The sequence below is a fragment of the Homo sapiens genome, chromosome 9 (assembly GCF_000001405.40).
Source record: "Homo sapiens chromosome 9, GRCh38.p14 Primary Assembly".
In the NCBI taxonomy this organism is placed as follows: domain Eukaryota; kingdom Metazoa; phylum Chordata; class Mammalia; order Primates; family Hominidae; genus Homo; species Homo sapiens.
Window position 1 is genome coordinate 128,304,473 of NC_000009.12, and position 18,331 is coordinate 128,322,803.

Consider the following 18,331-nt stretch of genomic DNA (forward strand, 5'->3'; position numbering starts at 1 on the left):
CTTGACAAGTCATTTCAGGAGCGTTTTGGCGAAGGAGAGTCTGACTGGCATGGATTCAGGGCAGTGTGGGAAGAGAGGAACTGGGGACAGTGACTACAGACAACCTTTCCAGGAGTTTTGCTCTAAAGGAGGCAAAGGAATGCAGTAATTGTAGAGTTATGAGGTCAAGAAAGAGCTTTTGTTTTGTTTTTATGGTTTTTATGTGGGTGTGATAAAATGTGCATAATGTAAAATTTATCATTTTAGCCTTTTTTTTTTAAGAGTTGAGGGTCTTAATTAGCCAGGTGTCACGGTGTGCATCTGTAGTCTCAGCTACTTGGGAGGCTGAGGTGGGAGAATCACTTGAGCCTGGGAGGCAGAGGTTGCAGTGAGCTAAGATTGCGCCACTACACTCCAGCCTAGGTGACAAAGTGAGACTCTGTCTCAAAAAAAAAAAAAAATTACGTACATACTTATATATAAAATGAATCAGCTCCCAAGCCTCTGCTTCACTGACCAGCCAGATCTCCTCCCTGTGCTCATCACTCCATTATTTTCTTGCCTGATCCCCCTACGTCATAATCTCTGTGAGACCTAGAGCCTCATCTGTCCTTGAGTACCAAGTCCCAGCACCCAGAGCAGTGGCTGGCCTACAGGAGCACGCGATTAACACACGTGGGTGGGATGAAAGACAATGAGCAAGTGAGTGTCGTTTTAATCCCCATTTTATAGATAGGTGACAGCTTCAGAGGCCACATTACCCAGTCAGTAAACACAGTAAGCTGAGGTTCCACCCAGGCCCTTTGGCTGTGAAAGCCAAGATGAGTAGCCTGGGGGCCACGCCCCTCCCCCAGGTGCCCAGTTCATACAGGCAGGCAATTGGCAGACGTGGGGGCCTGTGGATTTGTCAGCAAGGTTGCTGGTGGGGTTTTTGTTTGTTTGTTTTGAGATAGGGTCTCACCCTGTCACCCAGGCTAGAGTACAGTCGTGTGATTTCAGCTCACTGCAACCTCCACCTCCTGGGTTCAAATGATTCTCCCACCTCAGCCCAGATCTGGAGTAGCTGTAGCTGGACTACAGACAAGCGCCACCATGCCCGGCTAATTTTTGTATTTTTGGTAGAGACAGGGTTTCACCATATTGGCCAGGCTGGTCTCGAACTCCTGACCTCAAGTGATTCACCTGCTTTGGCTTCCCAAAGTGCAGGGATTACAGGCGTGAGCCACCACGCTCAGCCTGCTGGGTGGCTTTTTCTTTTTTTCTGACATAGGGTCTCGCTCTGTTGCCCAGGCTGGAGTACAGATCTCCATTTACTGCCGCCTTGACTTGCTAGGTTCAAGCGATCCTCCCATCTCAGCCTCCCTAGTAGCTGGGACTACAGGCACACACCAACACCCCCGGCTTTTTTGTTTGTTTGTTTGTTTTTTGTAGAGACAGGGTCTCCTTGTGTTGCCCAGGCTGGTCTCAAACTTCTGGGCTCAAGCAATCCTCCTGTGTGGGGATCGCAAAGTGCTGGGATTACAGGCATGAGCCGCCACACCCAGCAGAATTTTAATTTAAAAGCTCAGCTTAAACACCTCATGATGCTTACACATTTGGTACATTTTTAACAATCGTTGATTGTTCAACTCCATCCGTCTCAGAGTTAAAGACACAGGATAAGGAAAACATCTCCTTATCCAAGTGATTTGGGGTGGTATTCCCAGCTGTCTGAGGCTGTACATTGACCAATTATTTTGGCCATGACTCAGAGTTCCCCTATCCTGCTATCCTGAGATCATGAGAGGCCATCACAGAGTCCACTTTTATCATCTCTATGCCAATAAGGGCTCTAAATGGGGTGGTGTGACAGCCCATGTGCCCTACGTTCAAGTTACCTAATTTTTCCAAAGAACTGAGTTTTGCTGATACCCTCCACTCCCACCCAGCTTTCCTCACCATTTCATTGGATTCTGCTTGTCTAAATATTGCTGATTTTGTTCTGATTTTTCTCTTTTTTTTTTTTTTTTGAGACAGAGTCTCACTCTGTCACCTAGGCTGGAGTGCAGTGGCGCAATCTCCACTCACTGCAAGCTCCGCCTCCCGAGTTCCAGTTATTCTGCATCAGCCTCCCGGGTAGCCAGGACTACAGGCACGTGCAAGCACGCCCGGCTAATTTTGTATTTTTAGTAGAGACAGGTTTCACCATGTTGGTCAGGCTGGTCTTGAACTCCTGACCTCGTGATCCGCCCACCCTGGCCTCCCAAAGTGCTGGGATTACAGGCGTGAGCCACCGTGCCCAGCCTTTTTTTTTTTCTTTTCTGAGACAGAGTCTCACTCTCTCGTCCAGACTGGAGTGCAGGGGCACAATCTCAGCTAATGGCAATCTCCACCTCCTGGGCTTCAGCGATTCTTGTGCCTCAGCCTCCCAAGTAGCTAGGATTACAGAAGTGCGTCACCATAGCTGGCTAATTTTTGTATTTTTAGTAGAGACAGGGTTTCACTATGTTGGCCAGGCTGGTCTTGAACTCCTGATCTCAGGTGGGCCAGGTATGGTGGCTCACGCCTGTAATCCCAGCACTTTGGGAGGCTGAAGCGGGCAGATCACCTGAGGTCAGGACTTTGAGACCAGCATGTCCAACATGGTGAAACCCCGTCTCTACTAAAAATACAAAAGTTAGCTGGGCGTGGTGGTGAACGCCTATAATCCCAGCTACTTGGGTGGCTGAGGCAGGAGAATCACTTGACCCTGGGAGGCGGAGGTTGCAGTGAGCCAAGATTGTGCCATTGCACTCCAGCCTGGGTGACAGAGCAAGACTCCATCTCAAAAAAAAATAATAAAATTAGCTGGAAAAAAATATTTAGCCAGGCATCGTGGTGCACGCCTGTAGTCCCAGCTATTCTGGAGGGTGAGGTGGGAAGATGGTTGAGCCTGGGAGGATGACGGTGCAGTGAGTCATGTTTGCACCATTGCACTCCAGCCTGGGTGACAGAGCAAGACTCTGTCTAAAAAAAACAGGCCGGAAACAGTGGCTCATGCCTATATTCCCAGTACTTTGGAAGGCCGAGGTAGGCGGATCACCTCAGGTCAGGAGTTCCAGACCAGCCTGGCCAACATAGTGAAACCCTGTCTCTACTAAAAATACAAAAATTAGCCAGGCTTGGTGGTGCACACCGGTAATCCCAGCAACTCTGGAGACTAAGGCAGGAAGAATCGCTTGACCCAGGAGGGTCGAGGCTGCAATGAGTTGAAACCGCGCCACTGCACTCTAGCCTGGGCGACAGTGCGAGGCCCTGTCTCAAAAATAAAATAAAATAAATAAATTAGCCAGATACTGTGTGCACGCCTGCAGTCCCAGCTATTCTGGAAGCTGAGGTGGGAAGATGGTTAAGCCTGAGAGGACAAAGCTGCAGTGAGTCATGTTTGCATCACTGCACTCCAGCCTGGGTGACAGAGCAAGACCCTGTCTAAAAAACAAAAACAGGCCGGGTGTGGTGGCTCATGCCTGCCATCCCAGTGCTTTGGGAGGCAGAGGTTGGCATAATCCCAGCGCTCTGGGAGGCTGAGGTGGGCGGATCACCTGAGGTCAGGAGTTCCAGACCAGCCTGGCCAACATGGTGAAACCCTGTCTCTACTAAAAATACAAAAATTAGCCAGGCATGGTGGTACACATCTGTAATCCCAGCTACTTGAGAAGCTGAGGCAGGAGAATCGCTTGAACCTGGGAGGCAGAGGTTGCAGTGAGCTGAGATTGTGCCACTGCACTCCAACCTGGATGACGGAGTGAGACTCCGTCTCAGAAAAAAAAAAAACCAAAACAGGCCGGGTGTGGTGGCTCACGGCTGTAATCCCAGTACTTTGGGAGGCCAAGCCAGGCGGATCACGAGGTCAGGAGATTGAGACCATCCTGGCTAACACGGTGCAACACCGTCTCTACTAAAAATACAAAAAAATTAGCTGGGCGTGGTGGTGGGCACCTGTAGTCCCAGCTACTCGGGAGGCTGAGGCAGGAGAATGGCGTGAACCTGGGAAGCGGAGGTTGCAGTGAGCCTAGATCGCACCACTGCACTCCAGCCTGGGCCACAAAGCAAGTCTCAAAAACAAAAACAAAAACAAAAAAATGATTAACATTTCAATCAGTCAATGGGTAGACTTTGAGTCACGCTGATTATCCACCACAATTGTGGGCGGAGCTCATTCAATAAACTGAAGACCTTTAAGAGAAAAGACTGAGGTCCCGGCCAGGTGCGGTGGCTCACGCCTGTAATCCCAGCACTTTGGGAGGCTGAGCCAGGCCAACATGGTGAAACCTCATCTCGGATACAAAAAATTAGCCAGGTGTGGTGGCGGGCGCCTGTGACCCCAGCTACTTGGGAGGCTGAGGCAGGAGAATCACTTGAACCTGGGAGGCGGAGGCTGCAGTGAGCAAAGATGGCGCCACTGCACTCCAGCCTGGGCAACAACAGAAAAACAACAAAAATCATCTCATTTTCATCTGTGTCTTCCAGTATTAAAGAGGTTGAGTGTCATTTCTGGCTTACTAGCCATTTGGATTTCTTCTGATACACACTTCATCTCATTTGCCTAATTTTGTCGTTGTCTTCTTATTGCTTTCTAAGGGCTCTCTGTATACTATGGATATTAGTCCTTGGTTAATGACACTGCAAATACTTACAATTTTTTTTAATTTTTAATTTTCGTGGGCACATAGTTTATTGAGAATTTTTTTTTTTTTGAGATGGCAGGGGTCTCATATGTTCCCCAGACTAGAGTGCAGTGGCTATTCACAGGCGCCGTCTAGCGCACTACAACCTTAAACTCCTGGGCTCAAGCAATTCTCCTGCCTCAGCCTTGGGAGTAGCTGGGATTACAAGTGCCCGCCACCACGCCTGGTCTGCCAATACTTTCTATCAGTCTGTCATGTTTACTGTCTTTTCCTCCATACAGAAGTTTTTCCTTCTCAGTTGGGTCAAGTCCATTGACCTTTCTGTTACAGCTTGAGTTTTGTGTCTTACGTAGAAAAGGTGCCCCTGCTCTCACTTTCTGCACAGCTATCAGGTCCAGCTCATAGCAGTTCTTCTATTTATCCATCCACTGCCCCAGGAGCTGCCTGGGCATTCACTGCCCCGCACCCCTCTCCAGCCCCAAGGTAGAGCTCGGGCCCTGGGAGTCCCAGGACCATCCCGGACTGGGGAGCTGCTTGGTGTCCAGCCCCGGGCTCAAGCTCTTCTCCAGCTCTGCAGCTACCTGAGGGGTAGCAGCCCGGATAGCATCCTGGATGTTGGTTAGGTCCCACTGGGTCCTCAGGAGGGCACTGTCTAGCGTGAAGAAGCCGTCGCGCGTGCGCCGCACTTGGGTGCAGACAGCAGTGGTCTTTAGTTCCAGGCCGATTTCATGAACCAACTTCCGCAGCTCTTTCTGCGTCTCATGCATGCACTGCACCTCTGCCAGGGACACACAATGACAGACATGGTGGTGAGAGCACAGCCTCTAGTGTGTGGTTGTGAACGCACACCCCTTGGATACCTCCTAGGTGTGTAACAACCTTAGCAAGACCCCTAAGCTCTCCAGGTTGTGCTATTCAGAGGACCTGCCCTGTGGGTGCCACCTGAAATGTGTTAAGACTTGCAGAACCTCAGGCCCCACCGGGACCTGCCAAGTCAGAATCTGCCCTTTTTTGGCAACAGGGTCTCATTCCATCACCCAGGCTGGAGTGCAGTGGTGTGATAACAGATCACTGCAGCCTTGACCTCCTAGGCTCACATGATCCACCTGCCTCAGCCTCCGGAGTAGCTGGGACGTTCTGAGCCATCACAACTGGCTAATTTTTTATTTTTTGTAGAGACAGGGTCTCGCCATCTTGCCCAGGTTAGAACCTGCCTTTTACTAAGACTCGGTTTCCCTATCTGTAAAATGGGAGTTATGAGGAGTAAAAGAAATCATTTATAGAAAGATAAATGATTATCTTTAAAATGTTATTAAGATGTTATCTTAATAACAGAGTTCTGTGCTCAAGCAGAGGAGCAGGCATTAACATGACCAACAGAAAAAAGGGGCGGGCGCAGGCAGAGACAAAAGGAACACAGATAAGAGGGGCCTGAGCTGGGTGGGACTGGGGACGTAAGAGTTGTGTCTGATGGAGCCCTCACAGCTTCAAACATGGGCAGCTCTGGAAATAAGCCACTAAATATAACCTTTGCTTGGTAAGGTCTGGCTTCCAAGGGTGACTTGGCAAGAGATAGGAGAGCTTTTGTTCTGCGAGCTCTGTCATCAGCCAAGTCCAGGCCAGGGCTGGGAAGGAAGTCGGCACCTGATGCCTTGGCCCGCAGAGATCAGGGCCGGCGTGTGCTGGCCTCAGCTGAGCCAGACAACAGTGACCTCTGCAAGAGCGTTCCTGAGTGACTCCCAAACCTACGGGTCCCATCTCACTGCTCCAACTTCCTTGGCCAACCTACCTAAGAGGAATTCCGGAGGTGCAAAGTAGAGGCATCGGATGCCAGTTATCAGCATCGGGGACTTGTTCATGGGCCGGATCAGGCCTCTCACGGCCATCTCATAGGCCTCCTGGGTCTTCAGGTCGAGGTTGGAGTACCTGCAGATCAGGAAGGGGGCTGCAGCTGGGTGGCCCACCTACCCTTTCCCCCACATGAGGTGCCTCTCTGGAAGCTCCTCACTTGCTTTGTGTGCCCTGCCACCGTGGCTCCTCCAGCCACCTTTCCTGCCCTCCTTCATCACCAGGTGCCTGGTAGAGTCAGGAAACCCAGGCAAGCTGGCTCCAGAGCCCAAGCTCTTAACTCCTTGGCTGCTCTTGCCCTTGGGCTCTGTGCTCCAATGATGTGGTCCCTGGTTTCCTTGCCATTAGATCATATACTCTCAGCAGGACAGCTTGGTTCTCTTGCTCTTCTTGGCCTCCCGTTGGCCAACCCAAGACCTGGCACACAGAACCATTTCTTAATGCCAAGAAAGAAACAGGTAGCTCCCGTCTGGTTCTGGGCTCTAAAAACAAGATCCATGGAATCTGCCCCAGGTTTGGGGGAGCCTACGGGAGCCAAGGGCACTTACTGCTCTCCCAGTACCTCCCTGAGGGCCCTACTCACATCACCAGGGCCTTCTGATGGGAGCCTTGGATAACGGCCAGAATGCGGTCCAGCTTCTCTCTGGTCACGTGGTCTGGAAAAGGCAGGGGGTTGTCAATGTACAGGTACCTGCTGAGTATTGGTCACAGCAAACTCCTTCCCCCCAGGCCAGCCCCATCCCTGGAACATGGAGAGAGGATGTTTTGGAGGGATCCCCATGGCGGGGTGGTTGGGAGTCCTTTGAGATTCTCATGAAAGCACTGGACCTCAGAAAGATACTGGATCTCAGAAAGATACACATGACTCAGCAGCAAGGGCACTCTATTTTTTTTTTTTTTTTTTTTTTGAGACGGAGTCTCGCTCTGTCACCCAGACTGGAGTGCAGTGGCGCAATCTTGGCTCACTGCAAGCTCCGCCTCCCAGGTTCATGCCATTCTCCTGCCTCAGCCTCTCGAGTAGCTGGGACTACAGGCGCCCACCACCACGTCCGGCTAATTTTTTAAATTTTTAGTAGCAAGGGGGTTTCACCGTGTTAGCCAGGATGGTCTCGATCTCCTGACCTCGTGATCCGCCCGCCTCGGCCTCCCAAAGTGCTGAGATTACAGGTGTGAGCCACTGCACCCAGACTTTTTTTTTTTTTTTTTTTTGAGACGGAGTCTTGTTCTGTTGCCCAGGCTGGAGTGCAAATGGCACAATCTCAGCTCACTACAAGCTCCGCCTCCTGGAGTCAAGCAATTCTCCTGCCTCAGCCTCCTGAAAAGCTAGGATTAAAGGTACACGCCAAGACACCCGGCTAGTTTTTGTATTTTTAGTAGAGACGGGGTTTCACCATGTTGGCCAGGCTGGTCTCGAACTCCTGACATCAGGCAATCCACCTGCCTTGGCCTCCCAAAGTGCTGGGATTACAGGCGTGAGCCACCGAACCTGGCCTTTTTTTTTTTGAGATGGAATCTCGCTCTGTTGCCCAGGCTGGAGTGCAGTGGTGAGATCTCAGCAAACTGCAAACTTCACCTCCTAGGTTCAAACGATTCTCCTGCCTCAGCCTCCCGAGTACCTGGGATTATAGGCGTGCACTACCATGCCCGGCTAATTTTTTGTATTATTATTATTTTTTTTTTTTTTTTTTGAGACGGAGTCTCGCTTTGTTGCCAGGCTGGAGTGCAGTGGTGCAATCTCAGCTCACTGCAACCTCCGCCTCCCAGGTTCAAGCGATTCTCCTGCCTCAGCCTCCTGAGTAGCTGGGACTACAGGTGCCTGCCACCACGCCCGGCTAATTTTTGTATTTTTACTAGAGACGGGTTTTACCATATCAGCCAGGCTGGTCTCAAACTCCTGACCTTGTGATCCACCCATCTCGACCTCCCAAAGTGCTGGGATTACAGGCGTGAGCCACTGCGCCCGGCCTCTTTTTAAAATTTAGAACAGTAGCCAGGCGTGGTGACTCACACCTGTAATCCCAGCACTTTGGGAGGCCGAGGTGGGCAGAATACCTGAGGTCAGGAGTTCCAGACCAGACTGGCCAACAGGGTGAAACCCAATTTCTACTAAAAATACAAAACATTAGCTGGGTGTGGTGGTGTGCACCTGTAATCTCAGCTACTCCGAAGGCTGAGGCAGGAGAATTGCTTGAACCTGGGAGGTGGAGGTTGCAGTAAGCCAAGATCGCGCCACTGCACTCCAGCCTGGGCGACAGAGCGAGACATCGTTTCAAAAAAAAAAAAAGAAAAGAAAAGGAAAGGCTGGGCGCGGTGGCTCATGCCTGTAATCCCAGCACTTTGGGAGGCCAAGGAGGGCGGATCATGAGGTCAGGAGATCCAGACCATCTTGGCTAACATGGTGAAACCCCGTCTCCCATCTCTACTAAAAATACAAAAAAAAAAAAGCCGGGCGTGGTGGCGGGCGCCTGTAGTCCCAGCTACTAGGGAGGCTGAGGCAGGAGAATGGCGTGAACCCGGGAGGTGGTGCTTGCAGCGAGCTGAGATCGTGCCACTGCACTCCAGCCTGGGCGACAGAGCGAGACTCCGTCTCAAAAAAAAAAAAAAAAAAAGAAAAGAAAAGGAAAAGGTCAAAGACTGACGAGATGGAGAGAAACTAGAGTCTTTGGAAGTGACGTTACATTTGAGCTAGGCAAGCAGGGGAGTAGAGGATGCTCCTGGAGCACAGATCCCGTGGCCAAAGCCTCAGCCCAAGCCTAGTGTGTGCAGTGGAACTGAGAAGGGGCCAGCGTGGCCTAGGGCGGGGAGAGGACTCAGGGAAAGCAAATGCGGAGGGAGGCAGCGGCAGCCACTTCCGGTTCTCACCATAGGTTGTCTTCTCTACCAGCCTCCCGTCCTCACGGAAGTCATCTGTAGCTTTGCCCAGGAGGCCACGCACTGTGTAATCCTTCAAGGACAGGGAGGTAAAGATCCGTCAGTGACCCCATTCTAAGCCCTAGTAGCCCCTGCCCCAGAAGCTGGGGGTGGGGGGTCCTCAGGTCTCCCTCAGGAAGCTCATGTGCCCAGCCCCTGCCCAGCTGCTCCACAGCCCCAGGAGGAAGGGCACCAGCTCTGTCATGTGGCCTTCAGCAGCTCTTGCTCTCTTTGTATTCAAGCTCTCCTGTCACCTGGGGACAGTAACAGGGCCAGTCTCACAGTACTGCTGCCTGGATTCAGCAGGACATGGTACCTGGCTCCCAGTCAGCAGGCTTCCTACAAGACTGCTGGCTGGTTTCCATGACAACCAGCACTGGCAGCCTCCAAAGGTACTGACCGCTGACAGCCACCCTGTGGCCACCCCAGGCCTCCATGTTTCTCCTCTCCAACCTAACTCGGCAATTTATCACCCCGAGCCCCTTCTAGCATGCCCTGTAGGCTTCTCTCCACGCCTCTAAATAGAATGAGATTCCATGGCCCAGATCAGGCCCTTGCTCATCCCTGCTTGTAAAAACTCCCCCTCCTCTGAATCTGTGCAGCTAACCCCATCTGCCACAGATAAGTAATGATTGGCTGGATACAGTGACTCACACGTATAATCCCAGCACTTTGGGAGACAGAGGCGGGTGGATCGTCGAGTAGCTGGGAGGACAGGCATGCGCCACCAGCCTGGCTAATTTTTTTGTATTTTTAGTAGAGACAGGTTTTCACCATGTTGTCCAGGCTGGTCTTGAACTCCTGGCCTCAAGTGACCCACCCACCTCAGCCTCCCAAAGTGGCAGGAGCCACTGAGCCCGGCCACAATTTTTAAAATTTTTATAATTTAAAAAAATTTTGTAAATAGAGATGGAGTCTTGCTATGTTGCCCAGACTGGTCTCAAATTCCTGGGCTCAAGCAATCCTCCTGCCTCAGCCTCCCAAAGTACTGGGATTACAGGTATGAGTCACCACACCTGGCCCTCATTCCCATTTTACAGATGAGGAAACTGAGGCACACAGATATTAATTAGGTAATCTACCCAAGGACACACAGCTGTCAGAGTGGTAGAAGCTGGGGTTCAAACTGAAGCCATTTGGCTCCAGAATTTGTGCCCTTAACCACTAAAAACATGGGCCCCATAACGTGGCACCTGCGTACATACTTTGTGGTATCAGACTCCATAGCCCCGACCCCACCTCTGGATGGTAAGCTCCCTGTGGGTAGGATGCTGACATCTACCTCTCAGTCTTGGGACAGAATAGGGAATGGCATCATGATCAAGCTCTGGTGTTGGAGAGACCTAGGTTCAAATCCCAGCTCTTAAAGCCCTAACAACTACATGACCTAGGTAAGTAACATCTCCTCTCTGAGCCTCAGTTCTCTCATCTGTGAAATGTGGCTAACAACAGATTCCACTTTACAGGGAGGCTGTGAGGCTTCCCTAAAGGAATCCACGTACAGTGCTCAGCACAGAGTAGTCGGCATACACTAACACTGGTAGTTATTATTGTTATTATTATTACAGCCCCTGCACAGCACACGATCATCAAAAAAATGCTTGCTTATGGCTTGGGTGTTCCCCCACGGAATCCTCTAAGCTTCAGAATCCTGCTGGTGACCCCCAGGAAAGGACCAAGGGAGAAGCAGGCTGTCCCCAGACCCTCGTACCTTGGTAAGATGAGCATTGTACATATCGGTGAGGAGCCTGCATCCATGTCCCACGCCGAGCACTGAAAAGCAGCCAGCGTCATCTCACACCTGGGACCCCCTTCCCATTCCCCTAAGTATCCCCACCCCTACCCCCACCATCAGAATACTCCCTTTTCTGATGCTGCCAAAGGCAACAAGAAGGCAAAAAGATCTTCTACAGGGGGCAGGTGCACCCCTCTGGGTATATATCACATGCAGATTGCTGGGCCTTACCCATATGCACTGAATCTGACTCATGGTTGGAGGGGGCCTAGGATCCCTGCCAAGCTCTCCACAGGATTCTGACACCTGAGAGGAAGAGATCCCTGGCCTAGTCACACAAACCTGCACTCAAATCAGGGACAGCTCTGAGTATAATCTTTAGCCTCTTTGAGCGTCAAGTTCCCCATCAGTAAAATGGGGGTAAAAATACTGTCTGAAGGCCAGGCGCAGTGGCTCATGCCTGTAATCCCAGAACTTTGGGAGGCCGAGGCAGGTGGATCACCTGAGGTCAGGAGTTTGAGACCAGCTTGGCCAACATGGTGAAACCCCATCTCTACCAAAAAATACAAAATTAACCAGGTGTGGTGCTACACTACACTCCAGCTTGGGCAACAAGAGTGAGACTCCGTCTCACAAAAAAAAAAAAAAAAAATTAGCCAGGCGTGGTGGCGGGCACCTGTAATCCCACCTACTCGGGAGGCTAAGGCAGGGAGAATTGCTTGAACCCAGGAGGCGGAGGTTCCAGTGAGCCGAGATCATGCCATTGCACTCCAGCCTGGGAGACAGAGCAAGACTCTGTCTCAGGAAAAAAAAAAAATACTGATTCCTGTGGGTGCTGTGCAGTCGGCACAGAGGAAGGGCCCAATAAACGGTGGCCACTGTGGTCACTTCCTGCCTTTCTCCCGGTCTGTTTCTCCCTCTGGCTGAGGGACAGAATAACTCTGCATTCACTCGTGGGGAGACAGAACAGGGAGAGGGGGCATGAGATCATGTCTGCCTGCCTGTGCCTCAGGAAGCAAGACAAGGGGACTGTGACTGTCGCGGCTGGAGGATGTGGGCACCACCTGACCCTGGGGACACAGATGGCTCATGACTAGGGCTTTGTGTGTCCAGACCCAGCCACATGCAGGCCCTGGCCATTAGGTCCAGAGTCACGCGCCTGGCTGCCCCATGATGCAATGATGGTTTTCCTTCTCCGGACCAGGGGTATTCACTGGCCATGGGACCCAGAACAAGTCACCTAAATCCTACTTTCTTCTTCCATAAAATCATATAGTATCTACCTAATAAAGTTGTTGTGGTAAATAAATGTGCATAAAGGGCCTCGAACTATGTCATGTGTGGGAATCACTGAATAAAGGTGGGTGACTGTGGTATTAACCTGTGATTACCTCCGTCCCACCTATCCACTCCCCAGCTGATCAGCCTTGGGGCAGGAATCAGGGCAGGAGAGGAGTGGTGGGACGTGGGTGCCAGGTAAGAAGTGGGCTGGGCTCCTGGTAGCTTCAGGATCTTTTCTCAAGCCTTATCACTGTACCCCCAGGCTTCTCACATCACCTACCAAGTACTCCAGAAGCCTGGGCATCCAACCGATGTCCCACGCCAACCTTGAGATGGGCGAATGCTGGTCCACATACTGGAAAGAAACAAACAAGGTCCATTTTCTCAACTAAATGCCACCCCAGGATGGCTTTGGGCTGCATGTTGACCTCGTTCTCAGAATGGGCCTCATGGAGCCCAAACTAGCATCAGGCCAGACTCTCAGGCTTCCCCGTCATGGAATCTGGGACCCTGAACTGTATCCTCAGTGCCCTGGGATCCAAAGGGCAGCCCAAGATGCCTCTTACTCTGCCTATCATCAGTCTCCCAGTGAGAGGCTCTAAGAAGACTGGCGTAACACTGAAGGTCAAGAGTGCGGGGTTCCCTGCCCAGCTCTACTGAGGAAGAGTCCCTGGAGGAAAATGGAGGCTGTGAGCTCCTTAAGGCAGAACCTGGGTGTGTCAACTCACTAGCTGCTCAGGAAAGAACTACTGAAAGAATAAATGCAGGAATGAGCCAGAAGTGTTTACACTTCTACAGATTAAGAGGAATCTAGGGGAAGAGTCCAGGGTAGTTAAGGGCCTATTGAATCCAGGCCATGTTACTAAATGTCAACACTGAGCCTCAGTTTTCTCCCTTGTGAAATGAAAATAGGACCCATCTCACAGCACTGTGGTGATATCAATGAGGATTGTACTTGGGGGAAGCTTAACACAATGCCTAGTACAGAGTGGCGACTCAATACATTATACTTCTTATTGTTACCATATAATAGAGTCATTGAATATCACAAGTCCAACGGGTTTTTGAGGTTTCTGGTCAAACCTCTAGATTCCCTGACACATGCCTTAATCACATCTAGTGATGGGGACACATTACCAGAACCAGTTCCATTGTTGGGCAACTTTATTCAGTAAAAAAATCACTCTTTCGGCTGGGCGCAGTGGCTCACACCTGTAATCCCAGCACTTTGGGAGGCCAAGGTGGGCGGATCACCTGAGGTCAGGAGTTCGAGACCAGCCTGGCCAACATGGTGAAACCCCATCTCTACTAAAAATACAAAAATTAGCTGGGTGTGGTGGCACACACCTGTAATCCCAGCTACTTGGGAGGCTGAGGCAAGAGAATAGCTTGAACCTGGGAGATGGAGGTTGCAGTGAGCTGAGATCACACCACTGCACTCCAGACTCCAGCCTGGGCAACAGAGCAAGACTCTGTCAAATAAATAAATAAATAAACTTATTCTTTCCCAGAAACCCAAAACCCCTACCTTAGGACTTCTACCTAGGGTCTCATTTCTCACCTGGAGTCCCAGAATAGAAAAAGGGTCAGCAAACTACAGTCCACAAGTCAAACCTGAAGACTGAAGACTGTTTTTTTTTTGTGTGTGTGTGTTTGCTTGTTTTGTTTTGTTTTGTTTTGAGATGGAGTCTCACTTTGTCACCCAGGCTGGAGTGCAGTGGCGCCATCTCAACTCACTGCAACCTCCACCTCCCAGATTCAAGCGATTCTCATGCCTCAGCCTCCTGAGTAGCTAGGATTACAGGCACCTGCCTCCATACCTAGCTAATTTTTTGTATTTTTAGTAGAGACGGAGTTTCATCATGTTGGCCAGGCTGGTCTTGAACTCTTGACCTCAAGTGATCCGCCTGCCTCGGCCTCCCAAAGTGCTGGGATTACATGAATGAGCCACCGCATCTGGCTTGTTTTTTGTGGCCTATGAGTTAAGAATGGTTTTTGCATTTTTCAGTGGTTCAAAATAAATCAAGAGACCAGTTGCAAGGGCTCACGCTTATAATCCCAGCACTTTGAGACGCCGAGGCAGGCAGATCACTTGAGCCCAGGAGTTCAATACTAGCATGGGCAACGTGACAAAACCCCATCTCTACAAAAAATACAAAAATTAGCCAGGCATGGCCGGGCGTGGTGGCTCACACCTGTAATCCCAGCACTTTGGGAGGCCGAGGCGGGTGGATCACGAGGTCAGGAGATCGAGACTATCCTGCCTAACATGGTGAAACCCCGTCTCTACTAAAAATACAAAAAATTAGCTGGGCGTGGTGGCGGGCGCCTGTAGTCCCAGCTACTCGGGAGGCTGAGGCAGGAGAATGGCGTGAACCCAGGAGGAGAAGCTTGCAGTGAGCCGAGATCGTGCCACTGCACTCCAGCCTGGGCAACAGAGCATGACTCCGTCTCAAAAAAAAAAAAAAAATTAGCCAGGCATAGTGGCCTGTGCCTGTAGTCCCAGCTACTCGGGAGGCTTAGGTGAGAAGACTGCTTGAACTCAGGAGGCAGAGGTTTCAGTGAGCCGAGATCTCACCACTGCCCTCCAGCCTGGGTGACAGAGTGAGACCCTGTCTCTAAATAAATAGAATACTACAGTTGTCCCTTGGTATCCAAGGGGATTGGGTCCAGGATCCCTTGCAGATACCAAAATTTGTAGATGTTCAAGTCCCTGATATAAAATGGCATAGTATTTGCATATAACCTAGGCATGTCGTCCCATATACCTTTTTTTTTTTTTTTTGAGGCAGAGTCTCACTCTTTCACCCAGGCTGGAGTGCAGTGGCACGATCATGGCTCACCACAACCTCTGCCTCCCAGGTTCGTGCGACTCCTCGTAACTCAGCCTCCTGAGTAGCTGGGATTACAGGTACGTGCTATCATGCCCAGCTAATTTTTACTAGAGACGGGGCTTTGCCATGTCTTGAACTCCTGACCTCAAGTGATCCGCCCACCTTGGCCTCCCAAAGTGCAGCGATTACAGGCGTGAGCCACCACACCTGGCCACTTTTTTTTTTTTTGAGACTGAGTCTCGCTGTGTCGCCCAGGCTGGAGTGCAGTGGCACGATCTCCGCTCACTGCAAGCTCCGCCTCCTGGGTTCACGCCATTCTCCTGCCTCAGCCTCTGGAGTAGCTGGGACTACAGGCGCCCACCACCACGCCCGGCTAATTTCTTTGTATTTTTAGTAGAGACAGGGTATCACCGTATTAGCCAGGATGGTCTCGATTTCCTGACCTCGTGATCCGCCCACCTCAGCCTCTTTATTTTTTTTGGAGACAGAGTCTCACTCTGTCACCCAGGCTGGAGTGCACTGGCACAGTCTCGGCTCACTGCAGCCTCTGAACTCCTGGGCTCAAGTGATTCTCCCACCTCAACCTCCCGAGTAGCTGGAACTACAGGCATATGCCACCCCACCTGGCTAATTTTTTTTTTTTTTTGAGACAGTTTCACTCTTATTGTCCAGGCTAGAGTGCAATGGCACAACCTAAGCTCACCGCAACCTCCGACTCCCGGGTTCAAGCAATTCTCCTGCCTCAGCCTCCTGAGAACCTGGGATTATAGGCATGTGCCACCACACCTGTCTAATTTTGTATTTTTAGTAGAGACGGGGTTTCTCCATGTTGGCCAGGCTGGTCTCGAACTCCCGACCTCAGGTGATCTGCTCGCCTCAGCCTCCCAAAGTGCTGGGATTACAGGTGTGAGCCACTGCACCCGGCCTTTTGTATTCTCTTGTAGAAGTAGGGTTTCCCCATGTTGCCCAGGCTGATGTTAAACTCCTAGGCTCAAGTAATCCACCGCCTCAGCTTCCCAAAGTGCTGGGATTACAAGCATGAGCCACCAGGCCTGGCCTTCCCATATATTTTAAATCATCTCTAGATTACCTTTTTTTTTTTGAGACGGAGTCTCGCTCTGTTGCCAGGCTGGCGTGCAGTGGCACAATTTCGGCTCACTGCAACCTCCGCCTCCCGGGTTCAAGTGATTCTCCTGCCTCAGCCTCCTGAGCAACTGGGACTACAGGCGCCTGCCACCACTCCCGGCTAATTTTTGTATTTTTAGTAGAGACGGGGTTTCACCATGTTGGCCAGGATGGTCTCGATCTCTTGACCTCATGATCCACCCTCCTCGGCCTCTCAAAATGCTGGGATTACAGGCGTGAGCCACCACGCCTAGCTAGATTACTTATAATGCCTAATATAATGCCTATGCATCACCTTGAGTGGATTCAACACAGTACTAGGTGCACAGCAAATTCAAGTTTTGCTTTTTGGAACTTTGTGTTTTTCTTCCCAAATACTGCCAATCTGAAGCTGGATCATGGGATGTGGAACTCATGGACTCAGAGGCAACTGTACTTAGTGACACGTGAAAATTACCTGAAGTTCAAATATGAATATTCATAAAGTTCTATTGGAATACAGCTAGGCTCATTCCTTTAGATACTGTCTATAGCTGTTTGGCACTACATTGGCAGAGTTGAGCAGTTCCAACGGAAATCACATGGCCTGAAAACTAAAACATTCAGTATCTGGCCCTTTCCAAGGAAATCTGCCAATTCCTGGTCTAATACCTCACTCCTCTGTGGACCTTCAAGGGCCTGGCACAGGAATCTGAGCACTGGGACACTGACTCGGCTCAGGGATTTCCTGGGAAGTGACACACAGGATCCTGCTTAAATCTGCCTTACCCAGTGGATGGTTGATGAAAGAGGGTACGCTGGTGGCTGTGAGGGTCAGCTCCTTCTCTTCGCTGCCTTCCATGGGGCCCAGCAAGAAGCGAACACGCTGTTTAGGAGCGGGAGGCTTCCTGGCATTGAGACCTGAACACACAGAGATAATATATACACACATACATACAAATATATGTACATATAAAATATTTTTTAAGAGACAGGGCCTCGTTCTGTAGCCCAGGCTGAAGTGCAATGGCGCCATCATAGCTCACTGTAACGTCAAACTCTTGGGCTCAAGCGATCCTCCTGCCTCAGCCTCCAGAGTAGCTGGGATTACAGGCGTGCACCACGATGCTGACCAGGAATATCTTGTTCTGTCCAAACACTTGGGGGATTAGACAACAGGGAAGTATGATGTAGAAGACAAAGCAGAAGCCCATGGTGCAGAGGGCAGTATAGCAGTAGTTAAGAAACAGGCGGATTCAAACAGACTCTACAACGTAGTAACCGTGTGACAAGGAACAATACTGAGTCAGTTTCCCCCTCGGAAAACAGAGGAAAGTGAGGAGTAAGAAAGCACAGAGAACAGGCGTTTGGGAAAGCGCTCTGCCCAGGTGAATAGGTCACGTGATTTTGTTTTGGGGTAAGGACCAGAAGCGGAGATGGACTTCCAAGAGAACGAGAGCGGGAACGTGGGTCTGGTTCGAGGCACTCACCCTTCAGAAGTTGTAGCTCCACTGTATCCCGCAGGTGCTTCCATTTTAGCCCCGGGGGCTTATAGACCGCGAAAAGCCCATGCAGCCGCGACAAGCCAGCAGACCCCATACTTGAAGATCACAGCACCCGCTGGACCTGGACGGAAGTACCGCCAGGCCCCGCCCCCAAATGTGGTCCTTTCCACGGGCGCCGCCATGTTCCACAGCCGGAAGAGGTTCGCATTTTATAGTCTTCGGGGAAAACCGGCTGTGGAGAAGGAAATAGGGCCCGGCGCTGAGTGAGCGTGGTTGCGTGTCCTTTGCAGACACTTTCTGGGGCGAGGTGACATGGCGAGAGTCTTGGATCGGTGGACGTAGACGGTAGACAGTTCGCGTGCGTTTCCTTCGCCTACTTGGCCTACATGCCTTCTGCCCGTGAAGCGATGTTTCCCCTCGAAAGGCCGTAGGCTACGCCGTCAGAATCGGTTTTTCAGTGAGTTTTGACCCCTCCGACGCTCCGTCGCC

At 50.9% G+C, this 18,331-nt stretch overlaps 1 protein-coding gene and 1 long non-coding RNA gene across 6 annotated transcripts, besides 3 other annotated features; one reads left to right on the forward strand and one right to left on the reverse strand.

The window, feature by feature from the left end:
* Positions 1-686: 686 nt before the first annotated feature.
* On the reverse strand, positions 687-17,975 carry TRUB2 (TruB pseudouridine synthase family member 2). Of its 4 annotated transcripts, NM_001329863.2 has the most exons (9): positions 17,828-17,975; positions 17,127-17,258; positions 12,680-12,754; positions 11,350-11,424; positions 11,095-11,156; positions 9,336-9,417; positions 7,057-7,129; positions 6,415-6,551; positions 687-5,403 (listed from the first exon to the last, which is right to left on the reverse strand). In NM_001329863.2, exons 4-9 carry the CDS (start codon positions 11,351-11,353, stop codon positions 5,078-5,080), a joined length of 684 nt encoding a protein of 227 aa, NP_001316792.1. In that variant the 5' UTR covers positions 11,354-11,424; positions 12,680-12,754; positions 17,127-17,258; positions 17,828-17,975; the 3' UTR covers positions 687-5,077. The 4 variants fall into 4 exon arrangements, with proteins under 4 accessions (NP_001316792.1, NP_056494.1, NP_001316791.1 ...); NM_015679.3 differs by lacking the exon at positions 11,350-11,424; NM_001329862.2 differs by lacking the exons at positions 11,350-11,424; positions 17,828-17,975 and adding an exon at positions 17,384-17,746.
* Positions 1,598-1,892: a silencer, noted in NCBI's record as "tiled region #12606; HepG2 Repressive non-DNase unmatched - State 18:Pol2". NCBI's record gives its function as "represses a minimal TATA promoter and a strong SV40 promoter by Sharpr-MPRA in HepG2 cells {active_cell/tissue: HepG2}" and the evidence as "EXISTENCE:reporter gene assay evidence [ECO:0000049][PMID:27701403]".
* Positions 2,778-3,072: an enhancer, noted in NCBI's record as "tiled region #14380; HepG2 Activating DNase unmatched - State 18:Pol2, and K562 Activating DNase unmatched - State 5:Enh". NCBI's record gives its function as "activates a minimal TATA promoter and a strong SV40 promoter by Sharpr-MPRA in HepG2 and K562 cells {active_cell/tissue: HepG2 | K562}" and the evidence as "EXISTENCE:reporter gene assay evidence [ECO:0000049][PMID:27701403]".
* On the forward strand, positions 9,079-12,427 carry LOC105376286 (uncharacterized). 2 transcript variants are annotated; one of them, XR_930377.3, is made up of 3 exons: positions 9,079-9,433; positions 9,626-9,775; positions 10,952-12,427. It is a non-coding gene; the product is annotated as an uncharacterized LOC105376286 (long non-coding RNA). The 2 variants fall into 2 exon arrangements; XR_007061802.1 differs by lacking the exon at positions 9,626-9,775.
* Positions 17,675-18,214: an enhancer, noted in NCBI's record as "active region_29078". NCBI's record gives its function as "activates an Ori minimal core promoter by ATAC-STARR-seq in GM12878 lymphoblastoid cells {active_cell/tissue: GM12878}" and the evidence as "EXISTENCE:reporter gene assay evidence [ECO:0000049][PMID:35858748]".

What these genes read in the sequence shown, in the direction of transcription:
- TRUB2 (NM_015679.3), bottom strand. Translation starts at nt 17,936, where the DNA reads ATGGGGTCTGCTGGCTTGTCGCGGCTGCATGGGCTTTTCGCGGTCTAT. An exon ending in TTTCATCAACCATCCACTGG is followed by an intron (nt 12,755 to 17,126) that starts GTAAGGCAGATT and finishes GTTTCTTTCCAG; the next exon opens with TATGTGGACCAGCATTCGCC. An exon ending in ACAATGCTCATCTTACCAAG is followed by an intron (nt 9,418 to 11,094) that starts GTACGAGGGTCT and finishes CTGTCCTTGAAG; the next exon opens with GATTACACAGTGCGTGGCCT.